This window comes from Homo sapiens, chromosome 8 (genome assembly GCF_000001405.40).
Source record: "Homo sapiens chromosome 8, GRCh38.p14 Primary Assembly".
NCBI classification, from domain to species: Eukaryota; Metazoa; Chordata; class Mammalia; order Primates; family Hominidae; genus Homo; species Homo sapiens.
In genome coordinates, this window is record NC_000008.11 from 126,266,546 (window position 1) to 126,284,910 (window position 18,365).

The window sequence follows — 18,365 nt, forward strand, 5'->3', positions numbered from 1 at the left end:
GGAAACAGTTAAGGCAGGACTTAGACGGGCATATATTTTCTAAAAGTTATTCATCAGAAGACAAAAAAATTATAAATAAGTGAGCTAAATATTCCCCCAAATACTAGAAAAATAAACAAGAAAAATAAGTGAAAGAAGAAGTAATGAAGGTAAGGACAGAAATTAATAAAGTAGAGAAAAACAGATAATAATAGTGGCTAACATGTTTACAGTGCATATGCTAAGGGCTATTCTAAATGTTTTACATAGATTAATTCACCCAGTCATCACAATGCCCATAGAGATAGGTAAAATTATTCATTTTTTTATTTTACAAATGAGTAAAGCAATACCCAGGAAAATTACATAATTTTTTCAAGATCGTAGTCTAATCAGGAACAGAGATTGATTTATAATCTGTACTTTTATCCACTGAGCTACAGTAACCCAAAAGTTGATTTTTCTTTGGAGAAGTCTACTCAAGTAGATAAGCCCCCAGAAAGGCTGACTAAGGAGAGAGGAGAAAGAAAAGGATTCCTGTTTCATTCAGAGTAATTAAGGGTAGCTGACACTACCAAAAATCACTTGGTTTAACACAATGTTTATTTCTTGCTTTCCTCAGAATCCTTGGCCAGTCAAATCTACAGGGTATCTCTCCTCAAGCAGTAATCAGGGGTCCATGATTGCCATGACAGAAGAAGAAACAGAAGAATAATGATTGCTGGCTGTTAACTTCCTCGGCCTGGAAGTCATACTCTCTGCTCACCTCTCATTGGTTTGGACCAACCTACAGTCCCGTAGTGAGGGTAAGAACATAGAAAACACATGCATACTTTGGTGAGCACTAACAACCTCTGCAATAAATATAAATAAGGTAAAGGCAGACTACAAAAAGAATAAAAATCCATAAACAGATTTTAAAAGTATATTATCATTATTATTCAGAGAGTCTTCCTCTGTTGCCTAGGCTGGAGTGCAGTGGTGTGATCATGGTTCACTGCAGCCTTGACCTCTCACGTCAGCCTCCCAAGTAGCTAGGACAACAGATATGCACCCACCACACCTAGCTAATTTTGTATTTTTTATAGGGACAAGGTCTCACTCTGTTGCCCAGGCTGGTTGCAAACTCCTGAGCTCAAGCAGTCCTCCTGCCTTAGCCTCCCAAAGTGCTGGGACAAAAGGCATGAGCAACTGCACTAGGCCAAAAATATATTATTTTTACAGGAATGTTTGGAAGGCTACTCAACAATAAATCTGACAACCTAGCTTCAATAGACAAATTCTTGGGAAAAGATAAAGAACCAAAATCGGAACAAGAAGAATGTTAAAGAATAGCCAAGGCCAGGCACAGTGGCTCACACCTGTAATCCCAGCACTTTGGGAGGCTGAGGTGGGTGGATCACAAGGTCAGGGGTTTGAGACCAGCCTGACCAACATAAGGAAACACCGTCTCTACTAAAAACACAAAAATTAGCCAGGCGTGCTGGTGCACACCTGTAATCCCAGCTACTCAGGAGGCTGAGGCAGGAGAATTGCTTGAAAACCCGGGAGGTGGAGTTTGCGTTGAGCCGAGATCGCCAGAGCGAGACTCTGTCTCAAAAAAACAAACAAACAAAAAAACAAATAGCCATATGTTAACAAAAATGGAAATAGTAATCAAAAATCTCTCTCTATCCTTGCCTTGCTTCACAAAAAAATAAAAATAAAAATAAAGCCCCTGTTCCAGCTATCAACTAATTGTCCTTCAGCTGTATCCCTTCTTTGTTATCCTGCTTTGCGATAGTAAAGCTGGACCCTGTAAACATTTCTTCTTTTCCAGTTGGCATGGTGGTAAGTTTTGTCAGTAGAGAGCGCTGGGGGACACTCCCGGTGGAATGACTTCTCTCCTTGGTTTCCAAATGCCACTCCTCTCTTTTGCAGTGAGACCTTGTCCCTAAAAAATTATAAAATTAGCCAGGTGTGGTGGGTGCATACTTGGGAGGCTGAGGTGAGAGGTTGAGGCTGCAGTGAACCATGATCACACCACTGCACTCCTGCCTAGGCAACAGAGCAAGCACTTCTGCAGCACTCAGCCTGCATGAGGGAAACCCACTGGCACTCAGTCCTTCTAGTGAGTTCCTGTGGAACCCCCATGGTGGCATTCTAGTAGGCTCTACCAGCCTGCCAGCCATCCTCCCAGCCATCCTCCCAGCCAGCCTCTCCCAGCCAGCCTCCCAGCCAGTCTCCCAGGAGGGAGTTAGGTGTCATCTCCACAAGCGATTTTGTTGGCAAGTTCTGTAAGCTCCCAGCTGACATTCAGGATGTCTCACAGGCAATCCAGCAGACAGTATTCCAGCAAGTTCTGCTGCCCCCCAGTTCCCTTTCTAAATAACCTCACAGGCATCCCAGTGGGTGCTTCCTATTGAGTTTGAGCAGAACTCCATGGGCAGGCTTCCCAGAGGGCAGCTAACCTCCTGCAAGTTTTGTTTACACCCTAGACACAGTTTTCTGATGATCAACCTGGGCCTTTGACACCTCAGTCAACTTTTACACTATTCAGAGGGCTACAGTCACACCCTTTCTAACAAAGTCTAAATTAGCCCCTGTTGGAGGTGGGGGAACCCTCTTCCAAATTTGTTCCTCCCTTGGGTCCTCTGTCTTAGCCCTAGTAGTTGTGACTTTTCCATAGGGGGAATACATTCTACATCTGTATTCCTTGGAGTTCCTTCATTATCATTTAATAATTCTTTTCATTGCTTTTTCTGTTCAACTTATTCTATAACTTCTGTCTCCTGACTAGATCCTGACTGATGTAGCCCAAGACCCAGACAGTTTCAAAAGGAGAGTGCACCAAACGTCAAGGCACAGACAATCCCAATTTTACATATCATCAAAAACAAAGAAAAAAGGAAAGGAAATTTATTTTATGATTCTAGTGCAATTCACATTCTCAATCTAGATTAGGGCAATACATTAAAACACAATTTCATGTCCTTCAATAGGCAAATCCATAAATGAGCTATGGCACATCTGACAATAGGATGTTATTCAGTGATTTAAAATGTGAGTGTTCAAACCATTTTTATAGGGCAGGAAGGACAGCTGCATAGGTGAAGCAGAGGGGATTTTTAGAGCAGCATAATTGTTGTGTATGATACTGTAATGGTGGATACATGCTATTATACATTTACCAAAACCCAGAAAATGTGCATCAACAGTGAATTCCAATGTAAACTATAGACTTTTGTGAATAATGTAACAATATTGGCTCATCAATTGTAATAAATGTACCGTGCTAATGCAAGATGTTAGTAATAAGGGAAACTGGGGTAGAGTGGAGAGTATATGGGAACTCTCTGTATTTTCTACTCAATTTTTCTGAAACTTAAAACTGCTCCCCCCCAAAAAATAAAACACAATTCCAGACCTAACTTACTTATGAATATAAAGCATAAATGCCAACATGATGACATGATGTTTTTGTTTCTTTATTTCTTTTTTTTTTTTTTTTGAGAGACAGGATCTTGCTCTGTCGCCCAGGTTGGAGCGCACTAATGAGATCATAGCTCACTACAGCCTCAACCTCCTGGGTTCAAGCAATCCTCCCATTTCAACCTCCCAAGAAGTTGGAACTAAAGGCATGTGCCACCGCTCCCAGGTAATTTTTGTATATTTTGTAAAGATGAGGTCTCTGTCTCACCATGTTGCCAGGCTAGTCTTGAACTCCTGGGCTCAAGTGATCTTCTTGCTTCAGCCCCTGAAAGGGCTGGGACCACAGGTGTGAGCCATCACACCCACTCAAATGCAAAAATCTTAAAGCAAATATTAGATCAACAAACTCAGTATTATTTAAATAACTACATAATGATGAACTAAGGTTTATATCAGGAATAATATAATGAATTAGCATAATAAAATGTTAATATAACAATATATTAATAAGTAAAAAGGAAAAATAACTTGGTCTTTTTGATAGATTCAGAAACACATCAATGAAGTTCAGCACTCATTTATGACAAAAACTATCACAAACCAGGTAAGAAATAAATCTCCTTAATGTAATAAAGTCTACATCCTGAAACTCAATAGTAAATGTAATTCTTAATGGAGAATATTTTTAAAAGTAAGATAATGTAAAAATTGCCTTTATATTGAGAGGATATTATAATTTGCATTGAACATCCAGTAGAATCAACAAACTATTAGAAAGAGTTTATCAAGCTTTCTGAACATAGACAAGTGAGCACATTTTCTTATCCCAGCAATAAGCTATTAGAATAGTAGTAGAAAATAAGATACCACTGAAAAAACTACAAAGTATACAGAAATTAACCTAATAAAATGCACAAAGTTTTTATAGGAAAAAAATTTTAAACCCTATTGAAAGCCATACAGTAGACTTGAGTAAATACAGAGATTACTATATCCATGGAGGGTTTGACTTAACATTGTAAAGATGTCAATTCTTTCCAATAGTACTCTTTAAATTTCATTAGCACTGACTGCTGGCTCTTTCCTCCAAACTTCACCTGGTTAAACTACGAAAGAGGAAGGAAAGCACAGATCTGAGGATTTCACAGCTATAACAAAAACAAATGAACAGAAAGCTGTGAGAAACACATTGGAAGACAAAAGGTAACTCATGATTTAATGTGGATGGAAACCAGCAGCATGGGGTAGGTAAATGTTAATGCCACAGCCAGCAAATAGAATGGAGGAAAACTGTATTATTTTTAAACTTTTATCATAGAATAATTTTTAAAAGTACAAACATTAAGAGAATAGTATATGGTATTCCCTTGTAACCTCCTTCACCCATGTTCAACTCATGGAAAAACTTTTTCACTTATATTCCACACATCCCCTACTCAACTTGGATACTTTTGCCCAACTGACTTCAAAAGGCTACTGTGCACGGGCATGGTGGCCCATGCCTGTAATCCCAACCCTTTGGGAGGCCGAGATGGGAGGATTGCTTGAGCTCAGGAATTCAAGACCAGGCCAAGCAACATAATAAGGCCCTGTCTGTACTAGAAATCAAAAAAATTAGCCAGGTGTGGTGGTGCATGTCTGTAGGTATTCCCAGCTACTCAGGAGGATGAAGTGAGAGAATTGCTGGAGCCCAGGAGGTTGAGGCTGCAGTGAGTTGTGATTGTGCCACTGCACTCCAGCCTGGGCAACAGAGTGAGACCCTGTTTCAAAAAAAAAAGAAGGCTACTGTAGCATTAATTTTCAAATAATGACTGAGTAATAGAAAATCATAATCCCATTTCATTTATGAATGAACATGACATGAACATTTTAAATAAAATATTAGGTAATAAAATTTCATACTTACATTTAAAATAATATTTTTTAAATAATATGTTTCATAATGGAACCTATCAGTAGCATATGACACTGTTGATTCCTCTCTTTTTCTTCATTTTCTTTTCTTGGCTTAAAAGCTATAACTTTCTTTTGATTCTCCTCCTACCTAAGAAGTTACTCCCTCTCAAGCTTCTTCTTTGGTGTGTCCACACTTTCCCAACTTTTAGCATTAAATTTCACCAAGACTGTGTCTCAGACCTCTCCTTTTCTCAATCTAAACTTATTTTCCAGGTCATCTCAACCATGCTTGCAACTTGAACTACCATGACTTCCAAATTTATATCTTGACCTTTGACTTGTCCTTAAATGCGAGACTCATGTATGTAATTCCCTACTTCACATCTACACTTGAATATTTAATATACACTTAAGATATCCTAAATCATAATTTTGAGCTTCTCTCCTCTACCTGCCCACCACCCCACCAAGCCTTCTGCTCCTGCCCTCTTCATTTTATTAAATATCAATTTCATCCTTATAGCTGCTCATACCTACACCCCGAATATATCTATGATTCCTCTTTAATAACCTGTATCTAATTCATCAGAAATCCTGTTTAACATATCTTCAAACATATCAAGAATCAGACCACTTTGCACTACCCCATAACTACCACTGGTTCAAAACAATGATTTCTTATTTGGATTATGCAAAGCCTCTTAACTAATCTCCTTCAACTCATATCACCTCTTAAAACTCTTCTCCCCATCACAGCTAGAAAGTTTTATTTTAAAAGTTTTTCATAGACTTAATTTTTTAGGGAACTTTTGTGTTCACAGCAAAACTAAAGAGAAAGTAGAGAGTTCCCATATATTTCCTACCACTACACCAAAACAGCTTTCTCCACTATCAAAATCCACTCCCCAAACTGGTACATTTGTTAACATGGATGAGCCTACATTGGCACATAATTATCACCCAAAGTCTATAGCTTACATTATAGTTCACTCTTGGTATAAATTGAATGTGTTTTGACAAATGTATAATGAGCTGCATCCACCACTATAGGATCATACAGAGTAGTTTCACTGCCGTAAAAGTCTTCTGTGCACTGCCTACTCATCCTTCTCTTCCATCTGACCCCTGGAAACCACTGATCTTCTTACTGTCTCCGTAGTTTTGTCTTTTCAGAGTATCATAGAGCTCAAATCACCCATTATGTGCCCTTTCCAGATTGGTTCCTTTCACTTAGTATGCATTTATTATTCTTCTATGTCTTTTCATGGCTTGACAGCTCATTTGTTTTTTAGTGCCCAATAATATTCCATTGCCTGGATGTACCACAGTTTATTTTACCATTCACCTACTGAAAAACATCTCCTTGCTTCCAAGTTTTGGCAATTATGAATAAAACTACGATAAATATTTGTATGAAGATTTTTGTGTGGACATAGTTTTCAACTCATTTTATTAAATACCAAGAAGCATGATTGCTGAATTATATGTGAAGAGGTATGTTTAATTTTGTACAAAACTGACAAACTATCTTTCAGAATGCGTACACCATTTTGCATTCCCACCAGCAATAAATTGGAGTTTCTGTTGTTCCAAATTCTCACCAGCATTTCATAGTGTTTGTGTTTTGAATTTTTACTATTCTATTAATAACAGGTGTGTAATGGTATCTCATTGTTACCTTAATTTGCAAGCCTCCCTAATGACGTGTGATGTTAAACATATTTTACATGTTTGTTTTCCATCTGTAAATCTTTGTGAGATGTCTGTTCAGATCTTTTGCTCTTTTGTAATCATTGTTTCTTTTTAAATCATTGAGTTTTAGAGACTCTTTAAAAATGTATGTTAGATCATTTTACTCCTATTCTCAAATAAAAATAATGATCACATTTAATCTTCACCATGAACTGTTCTAAGTGCTATTCAAATGGCATTCCATCCATTTTAAGATGTATATTCCTTTTTCTCTTCACTTTAAAAATATTTTAAATTGGGATGTATCTCACTGCTGTTGGCCAGGGAGTAGTCATGATGTAACTGTCATTGCCTATTTATGCAAATAAAAACTTGCTAAAGATGTTGGTGTCATGGAAGAAAATCTCATAGACAATAATAAAACATAATTTTTAAAATGTTGCATCACCAGTGGTCTGAATGCAAACAAGAATGATATTGGGTAGAAAAAGAAAGACATAGACAATCTTAAATGTAAAAGTTAAAAAATCCTAAAAGTTACTAATTGTAAAAAATATTTTAATCAATTCATGCAACTTTTAGTTAAGACGTGGAATGGTGATGTCATAGTATTTTGGGAAAACCCTAAGTAAACCAACCCTCACAAAGGCTGAAACCTAGCATTGAATTATTTCAATACATATTTACATCAAGTTGATTCATCCCTACTCTATCTGACCACCAGAGAAAAGTAAATATCCCCTGGAGAAAGATAATATCATTCACAATCTCTCTAACTTTTACAGTCTCTAGAATGCAATAAAAAATTACCAAGCATGACAGCAGGAAGAAGTAACTAACAGAAAACCTGCAAGTAATAAAAACATAGGAATAATCAAACAAAAATATTAAAATCATATGATAAACATGTTCAAGAGAGTAGAGTAAAAGATAGAGACTATATCCCCTGAGAAATGAATCAAATGGGCTGGGTGCCGTGGCTCACACCTGTAACCCCAGCACTTTGGGAGGCTGAGGCGGGCGGATCACAAGATCAGGAGATGGAGACCATCCTGGCCAACATGATGAAACCCCACCTCTACTAAAAAAAAAAAAAAAAACAAGAAAGAAATGAATCAAACGGAAATTCTAGAACCATAAAAAGCAATAAAAAATTGAGAACTTGATAGATGAGGTTTATAACAAACTAAATACAGAAGAAGAAAGAATTCAAAAACTGCAAGTTAGGAGAGTACAAAATACTTAGAACTAACTCCTAGTTTAACAGCAGATAAAACAGGCCCAAAGAGAATAAGTTAATGCATCAAAATCATTATCACTATCTGGTGCCAGAGCTGAGCCTAGAGTCCCCTGACCTCAAGCTAAGTGCTCTGTCTACTACATCTTACACTTCACAATATTTTCTTCACCTCTTGAGGGCTCAGAAAATCTGACATCTCCAGAATGGCATACCCACAGGAATGCAGAGAAACCATGTGGGGGAAGGGAGAAGAAAGAGAAGTTCAGCAGGGGCTCTGATTGATTACTTGAAAGATAAAGAAAGTATCAAGGAGCATACTCCAGATGTGCTTGTTCCCTGGGGTACTACACCTGAATTAAAGTGTGCCAGGTCCATTAGGACCCATCTCCTTCTCCATCCATTGCAACCAGCAAGAAACAGGTACTCCTTAGTAAGGAAATCTACCAAAGGTTTACGTTTGCCTTAGAGAAAAAGCCTCTGTAGAGAAGCCTTAATAGCTAGAAACCCCAAAGAAACAGGTAGCTACTGCTCATCTGCAACCTCCTGGCTCTCAGGAGAGTTTTAACCCAGAATTATTAGTGAAATGTTGACTGTAAAATGTACCTGTGAAATAGACCAAGTGGTTCTCACTCAAGAATGATTCTGACCCCCAAGGGGTTATTCAGCAATATCTGGAAACAATTTTAATTTTTATGATTAGGAGGATGCTACTGACATCTAGTGGATAGCAGCCAGAGGTGCTGTTTTACATTCTTCAACACACAGGACAGTCCCTACAACAATAGCAAAATTATCTGATTCAAAATCTGTATAGTGCAAAGTTTTTTAAAACAGAAAACAGATTTAGAGAAAAAATGGATAGAAAGAAAGAGAGAATAAGATACATATGGAACACAATCGAACTGTCTAATATGAATAATTGGAATCCCATAAGAGGTAGCACAGAAAACGGGATGGAAGCAGGAATATTCAAAGGGGGATGGGACAAGATCATTTGAAAAATCATAGATGACCTCAAGCCACGAACTCAACATAGTCTTGAATCTCCAAGCGTAATACCCATCTCATCACAGCAAAACTACTGAAAGTTACAAAGAAAACACCTTGAAAATGTTTATAGGGGAAAAAAAGATATACTATTTTCAAATGAATAACAATAAGATTGACCACAGACACTTTGATGAGTTTATGGAAGTCAGAAGATAATGGGACAGCATCTTTAAAGTGCTGAAAAATAACTGTCAACTGAGAATTCTATACCTAGTGAAAATATACTTTAAAATAAAGGCAAAATAAAATGTTTTCAGATTTTAAAAAAAGTAAAAATACGACATGGACTAAAAGAAGTATTAAATGTGTTCTTCAAGCAGAAGAAAAATGATTCCAGAGCAAAACAGATATTCAGGAAGGAATAAAAATCATTGAAAAGAGTAAGCATGTGAATAAACCTAAAAGAATATCTATAATGTAAAACAACCATAACAGTGTCTTGTAAGGCAAATATTTAAAACTAAGTTGCTCAACAACAATAGCAAAACATGAGCACAGGTTAAACGGAGTTTGAGTGCTATTTAGAACTTACATTGTTCAGGTAATTATAAACTGCAAATTTAATTATATTTAATACACCAAACATATATTTCAAAATATCTAGCATACTCACTGAAAGGCAATAAATTTTAACCTACTAGCTAATAAAGAAATAGAGTTTTTAAAAAATAAAATAATTAATCCTAAAGATGAAAAGAAAGGAGAAATAGGGTAGAATAGATAGAAAACAAATATAAAGATGCAAGTCAATTTTATAATAAATTATACATGTAATTGTTGATTTAGACCTTCAAAATTAAATTACACATGGAACACCAACTTAAGGACAAAGACTATCAGATTTGATGAAAAATGGGAAGCCATTTATATGGTGCTTAAAGACACCTTAACTAGCATACACCCACAGAATGATTGAAAGTAAGAAGATGGAGGATATTTGGATATTTTTTAAATACTGACCAGCTCCTAGTGTGGCTATATTACAATATGACAAAGTACACACTAAGTCACACTAAGAAGGAGTACTTGCAATAAATAATAACATTTCACAATAAGTAATGAGTGAATTCAATAGGATGACATAACCCTAAATATGTAATCATCAAATAACGTGTTTTCAAAATAGATATACATGGACAGAAATAAAAAGAAAGAAAGAAATACACAGTGTAGAAGACTCTGACAAACCTTTCTCAATAACCAGTAGAAAAAAATTAAAAATCAATAAGAGTTTAACGACTTTAGATACCTTATATAAGTGGAATCATGAAGTTTTTGCTCTGTGACTGACTTGTTTCACTTAGCATAATGTCCTCCAGGTTCATCCATGCTGTCATAAATGGCAGAATTTCCTTCTTTTGTAAAGCTGAATAACATTGCAATGTATACATATACCACATTTCCTTTATCCATTCATCAGCTGACAGACACTTGGTTTGCTTCTATGTCTTGGCTACTATGAATAGTGCTGCAATGAACATGGGAGTGCTGATATGACTTCATTTCCTTTGGCTATATACCCAGAAATGAGATTACTGGATCATATGGTAGTTCTGGGTTTAATTTTCTGAGGAGCCTCCACACTTTTTTCAAACTCATAAAAGCAGAGAATACGATGGTTGCCATGGATTGGGGGTTGGGGGAATGGGAAGTTGTTGCTCAATAGATACAGGGTTTGAACCATGCAAGATGAATAAGTTCTAGAAATTGACTGTATAACACAGTGCTTAGGCAGAACCATCAGGATTTAATCCCTTCCTCAAAGGCCTCACCACTTAATCTCTACCCCCAAAGCCTTCCTCTTCCTAGGGAACTCTATTCACTGCTCTTCTGATACAGAGTACTGTAAATTACTATGCAAATAAGGAACTATTGGGGCCCACTGGGGCAGGATCCTAACTCCTCTGCCATTTTCCATCCCACGCTCAAAAATCGGTATCTACTTTAAAATGAACACTATGGAATACTAATATAATTAAAGAGAAATTTAAAGTTTTCTAAATTCTTCCATCACCAATAATTAAAAGACAAAATCACTCCCTTGCCCCCAACTTCCTTTTGTATTACGAACGATGAGTACATTCTCTGAGAGAATATAAAATATCTCTCTTTCACTTGTAATCTCTCTGGGGAAGTCATTTCAGGACTTTTTATTATTACTTTAAGGAAGATGTGCTAATAAGAATTCAGCATTCAAAGGGAGATACCAGGCTGTGGGCCTTAGGCCTTTGGAGACTTGGGGCATAGGGAGTTTCTGCAAGTGATTCTATTGACTCTAAAAACATTGAACAAACATTATCAAAAGCCTGGCATTCAGTGGGATATTTGTCTTTTTATCTGTCCATTGGGTACCTTCTGAGTAGAATCCTTGGTGACAGAATCAAACACCAAAGTGCCAACTTCTTTAGAACCAGGCAGAAGTGCAAAGCCTGAATAACGGCCTTTGATTCTTTTCAAAAAGCAAGTTGTTGGATGGGGGTGGGGGTAGGGGTAGGGGTAGGGCTGGAAGGAGAGAGGCCAAGACCCAGTGTCCTGTTCCACTGTCTAGAAAGCTTTGAGCAGTATTACTTTTGGTCTTTTGTCATTTTTGCTTCAAATGGGGAATTTTTCTAATGTGCTTAAACACTGGAGTAATACTGGTGATAGAATTGGATAACTTGTATTTGGGTGGAAATATATAGAAACTGAAGCAAGTTTATTATGATTGAGAAAGTAGGTGTTGTGTCTTGGGACTCATGAATTTCTTATTATTTTATGTTTGGTTTCAAAAAGAAAAGTTTCATTTTTCTACTACCTAAGCTGAAAAAAAAAAACCACAACTGTATAATTCTAAATTCTTATCTATTTCCTAGGATCCATTAACTATTAACAGGTCACATTCACATTTGCCATTTTTGTGTTTACGTAAATATTAACAGATGGCTTATACACTTTGCAAGGGAGAAAAGGAATCATATTGTGTTTTTACTTACATTTTCATCTTCAAGGCAATTTGTGCATTAGTTTTAATAAAATATTTTATTTTAATTAAGTTAAAAACTTACCTATTATTCTTAATTTCTAATCTATGATTAAAAATTGAATTTCAAATATAATTTTGAAAAATATAAGACTAATTTTATTTATGACTTTACTCAAGGTAGCATTCTGGTCATGCAAACAAGTTGGTTTGGGGAAGAGATAGAAATAGTCTTCCAAATTTTAATGTGTTCCATGTTCTGGAATTGCTGTCATAAACAAAATAAAACTTTCACTATTTCAAATACAAGAAGAATCTTCATGGATGCTTTAGAGCAGTAGCCTGATATTTTTTCCCATTTGATATTTTCTTTGCTTTTCATATGCTTTAATTATTGTTTACCATCTTGTTGACCCTTAAGTCAATTTCTTTACTTTAATGTTCTGGCCTAATTTTTCAAGGCAGGGAACCCTTCCTTTGATTCCCCTTAACACTGGTAACCAGTATTTTAAAAACCGTAATGATGTTACTGATACGGGATGGAGGGGGCAGGGAAGTGCTGGGTAGAGAAGATCAAGGTCTCTGGCAAGGGCTCCACCCTTGGGCCTGTGCCCACGGACCTAAGTGAGAATAGGCACTCCAATTTTCAAGCTCAAATGTTGCATTTTCCAAGACCACTCTAGCCCACCACACCCCCATATCCTGTGCCCATAAAAACCTGAAACTGTAGTGGGCACGAACGCAAGTGGCGGGACCTTGAGAGGAGCAGGAGAGCACACGAACAGACACCAGCAGACACTGGCAGACAGTGTTGACAGCAGAATGACGCAGATGCCGAGGGGAAATCGGCCAGGGGTGGTCAGAGGAGAGTCCGGCTGCTGGGCAGCCTGACTCCAGAGGAAGACCACCTTCACACTCCATCTCCCTTCTGGCTCCCCATCCACCTCACTGAGAGCTACTTCTACCACTCAATAAACTCTTGCACCCATCCTCCAAGCCCACATGTGATCTGATTTTTCCAGTACACTAGGGCAAGGACCCAGGATACAGAAAGCCCTCTGTCCTTGGGATAAGGCAGAGGGTCTAAATGAGCTGGTTGACACAAGCTGCCTGCTGACTGCAAAAATGAAAGAGCACACTGTAACACATGCCCACTGGGGCTTCAGGAGCTGTTAACACGCAACCCTAGATGCTGCTGTGGGTTTGGAAACCAAAAATGCTCCCCACGACCTGCCCGTCTGCATGCTCCCTGTAGGGGTTTGAGCAGCCCGGTACTCAAGAAGTGAGCCACATCCCTGTTGCACACCCTGTGAGGGGGATAAAGAAACCTCCTGTTTCTTTACTGAGTAGTAGAGAGAGCATAAGGGAGATATGCAAATGAACCATAATAAGGATAAATGCAGTAAAGCTCTTCAAATACAGTCTTTATCATCTTTGTTAAGATTACCATATTTTTACCCCCCCAAAAAGTTAATAGGTATGCTGCTTATTGCTTTTGAATTCTCTAGTATCAGTCTGTGCTCTGTCACTTGAAAGATAACTTTAATTTACTCAATTTCCTTCAAGCAAAAGCTAAAGGAATGAGTACTCAAACCCTGCCTCCTCCCAACCCTGTTCCAGTTTCCTATCTGAGGGAGGACATCCATTCATTCAATACATATTTATTAAATGCTCACTACATGCCAATCAGTGTTAAGTGCAGTAAATAGGACAGATAATATCAATAACTCTCACTCTCGTGGGGCTGATATCCTAGTTGGGAGACAGGCAAAATCAAACAAAGAAACAAACGAATAATTTCTGAGAGTGACCTGAAAGCAAAACAGGGTGATATGATTGGGTGGTTTCCAGGGTCTTAGAAGGGGTGCTGCATTCAATTTGTTCAAGGAAAGCTTCTCTGAGAAGGTTGCAATTGATCAGCCATGGGTGTTGGGAGTAGGACTAACTGCAAAAATAGTAGGACTGTTTGGGCTAGATGTGTTCAAGAATGAAAAGAACAGTGTGACAATAGCTTGATGAGCAAAACCCACACACAAGACAGAAAACAGGCAGGATCCTATCCGGTAGGGATTGGTAGGTCATGGAGGGGAGTTCAGGTTTTATTCTAATTGCCACTAGAAGCACTAGGGAGAGGAGAATGATATCTACTTTACTCCATCAGAATAATTAACATTGGTTACTTTGGCAGATTTTTTATTTCAAACAACAGTTTACTTACGAAAACCTAACAAATTTTCCACAGTAAACATGCCTTATTTTATCATTCCCTACTAAAAGGAATTGGGATTTCTGGGAGAAATGGTTTATTCCAGGTGTGTTGGGGGACGGGAATACAGCAGGAGCCTGGAACATCTGGTTGTGCCTGAGAGCAAGGAAGTGCCCAGATTGGGTGCAGTGGCTCACGCTGGTAATCCTAGAACTTTGGGAGGCTGAGGCAGGTGGATCCCTTAAGTTCAAGAGTTCAAGACCAGCCTGGGCAACATGGCAAAACCCCATCTCTACAAAAAATAAAAAAAACTTAGCTGGGCATGGTGGTGCATACCTGTGGTCCCAGCTACTCAGGAGGCTGAAGTGGGAAGATCGCTTGAGTCCTGGAGGTGGAGGTTGCAGTGAGTCATGAACACACCACTGCACCCCAGCCTGGGCAATAGAGACTCTGTCTCAATTAAAAAAAAAAAAAAAAAAAAAAAAAAAAAAAAAAAAAAAAAAAGGATGTGCCACAGGCTAACAGTGTCACGTCAAAGCACATGGGAACCAGTTTGAAGGCAAGACTAAAATATTAGATAATTTAAGCATTCACAAAAAGATAACACATTATATTTTTTAAAGTCTCTTTTCTTAGTGAGAGAGGAAAAAAAGAGGAAAAAAGAGAAGACAAAGCTCTTCTTAATGAATGCAAAATAAATGTATAAGCTATTATATTATAATATGGTTTGGCTGTGTCCCCACCCAAATCTCATCTTGAATTGCAGCTCCTATAATTCTCATGTATTGTGGGAAGGACCTGGTGGGAGATAATTGAATCATGGGGGCAATTTCCCCCATACTGTTCTTGAGGTAGTGAATAAGTATCAAGAGATCTGATGGCTTGATAAGGGGTTTCTCCTTTTGCTTGGCTCTCACTCTCTTGTCTGCCACCATGTAAGACATGCCTTTTGCCTTCCACCATGATTGTGAGGTCTCCCCAGCCACCTGGAACTGTGAATCCATTAAACCTCTTTTTCTTTATAAATTACCCAGTCTCAGGGATGTCTTTATCAGCAGTGAAAACAGACTAATAGAGTAAATTGGTACCAGTAGAATGAGGTGCTGCTGATGTGGAAGCAACTTTGAAATGGAATAACAGGCAGAGGTTGGAAGAGTTTGGAGGGCTCAGAAGAAGACAGGAAAATGTGGTAAAGTTTGGAACTTCCTAGACACTTGTTGAATGGCTTTGACCGAAATGCTGATAGTTACATGGACGATGAAATCTAGGCTGAGGTGGTCTCAGATGGATATGAGAAACTTGTTGGCAATTGGAGTAAAGGTGACTATTGTTATGTTTTAGCAAAGAGACTGGCAGCATTTTGCCCCTGCCCTAGAGATTTATGAAACTTTGAAATTGAGGGAGTTGCTTTAGGGTATCTGGCAGAAGAAATTTCTAAGCAGCAAGCATTCAAATGGTGACTTGGATGCTGTTAAAAGCATTCAGGTTTGAAAGGGAAACAGAGCTTAAAAGTTTGGAAAATTTGCAGCCTGATGATGTGATAAAAAAGAAAAACCCAGTTTCTGAGAAGAAATTCAAGCCAGCTGCAGAAATTTGTATAAGTAACAAGGAGCCAAATGTTAATCATCAAGACAACGGGAAAATTGTCTCCAAGGCATGTCAGAGACCTTTGCAGCAGCCCCTCCCATTACAGGCCTGGAGGCCTAGGAGGAAAAAAAAGGTTTTGTGGGCCAGGCCCAGGCCCCCCTACTGTGTGCAGCCTAGGGACTTGGTGACCTGCATCCCACTAGCTATGGTTAAAAGGGGCCAAGGTACAGTTTGGGCTGTGGTTTCAGAAGTTACAAGACCCAAGCCCTGGAAGCTTCCACATGGTGTTGAGCCTGTGGGTGCACAGGAGTCAAGAATTGAGTTTAGGAACCTCCACCTACATTTCAGAGGATGTGTAGAAACATGTGGATGTCCAGTCAGAAGTTTGTTTCAGGGGCGAGGCCCTCATGGAGAACCTCTGCTAGGACAGTGCAGAAGAGAAATGTGAAGTTGAAGACCCCACACAGAGTCCTCACTGGGGCCCTGCCTAGTGGAGCTGTGAGAAGAAGGCCACCATCCAACAACCCCAGAATGATAGATCCACTGATAGTTTGCACCACGCACCTGGAAAACCCACAGGCACTCAACTCCAGTCCATGAAAGCAGCTGGGAGGGAGTCTGTACCTTGCAAAGCTGCAGGGCCAGAGCTGACTAAGACCATGGGAGCCCACCTCTTGCATCAGTGTAACCTGGATGTACAACATGGAATCAAAGGAGATCATTTTGGAGCTTTAAGATTTGACTGCCCCACTGGATTTTGGACTTTCATGGGGCCTTTAGCCCCTTTGTTTTGCCCAATTTCTCCCATTTGGAATGGGCATATTTATCCAATGAATGTGCCCCCATTGTATCTAGGAAGCAACTAACTTGCTTTTTATTTTACAGGCTTATAGGCTGAAAGGACTTGCCTCGTCTCAGATGAGACTTTGGACTGTGGACTTTTGAGTTAATGCTGAAATGAGTTAAGACTTTGGGGGACTGTTGGGAAGGCAAAACTGCTTTTGAAATGTGAAGACTTGAGATTTGGGAGAGGCCAGGGGTGGAAATGCTATGGTTTGGCTGTGTCCCCACCCAAATCTCATCTTAAATTGTAGCTCTCATAAAAGTCATGTGTTGTGGGAGGGACCCAGTGGGAGAGAATCAAATCATCGGGGCAGTTTCCCCCTACTGTTCTCATGGTAGTGAATAAGTCCAGTGAGATCTGATGGTTTTATAAGGGGTTTCCCATTTCACTTGGTCTAATTTTCTCTTGTCTGCCACCATGTTAAGACCTGCCTTTCACCTTCTACCATGATTATGAGGCTGCCCTAGCCAAGTGGAACTGTCAGTCTATTAAGCCTCTTTTTCTCCATAAATTACCCAGTCTCGTGTATGTCTTTATTAGCAGTGTGAAAACAGACTAATATATATTATTTTCTCAAAATTGTACCCCCGCCCCCAATGTAATAAGAGATTCAGTAAATGATCAAAAATGGTGATTTTCAGGTAAAATATTTTGAAGAACAAGATATTCACATGAAATTCAAAGTGTCATCCTACAGATAACTTATTAATTACAAGGGGAAAATGTCTCCTTATAATGAAAGGGATAACTCTACCAAGTGATCAGACTTAAAATCAATACTGGGAAAATCACAAAGAAACAAAACTCTGTCATTATATGCCTCTTGATGGGAGTGTGAGTAGATAATTTTCAAAAAGAGATCAAATTATGGCTGTCAGGCCTTTGAGCCCAAGCCTGCACCTATGCATCCAGATGGCCTGAAGCAAGTGAAAAATCACAAAAGAAGTGAAAATGGCCAGTTCCTGCCTTAACTGATGACATTACCTTGTGAAATTCCTTCTCCTGGCTCATCCTGGCTCAAAAGCTCCCCCACTGAGCACCTTGTGACCCCCACCCCTGCCAGCCAGAGAACGACCCCCTTTGACTTGTAATTTTCCACTACCTACCCAAATGCTATAAAACAGCCCCACCCCATCTCCCTTCGCTGACTCTCTTTTCGGACTCAGCCCGCCTGCACCCATGTGATTAAAAAGCTTTATTGCTCACACAAAGCCTGTTTGGTGGTCTCTTCACACAGACGCGTGTGAAAATGACTCTCATACAGATATAAAATAAACACATTACAAAGATTTTAGTTAACTCATTAACGCATGAGAGAACCAGTTAGACGTCATAACTGGTTCAAAAGAGAATTCAAACAAAAGACACATTTATAGATGATTATTGAAGTGAAAATGGTACAAAGGAGAGCAAAGCTGGTTTTTCCACTAGGGGAATAGAGAGGAGGAGAGAAGAGAGTCAGTTGAAACTCCATGGCACAGGATAGAATTTACAAGTCTAT

At 38.8% G+C, this 18,365-nt stretch overlaps 1 annotated feature.

Moving 5' to 3' along the window:
• Positions 17,591-18,097: an enhancer, noted in NCBI's record as "NANOG hESC enhancer chr8:127296381-127296887 (GRCh37/hg19 assembly coordinates)". NCBI's record gives its function as "activates a minimal SCP1, AML or CMV promoter by ChIP-STARR-seq in naive H9 embryonic stem cells {active_cell/tissue: H9 hESC(naive)}" and the evidence as "EXISTENCE:reporter gene assay evidence [ECO:0000049][PMID:30033119]".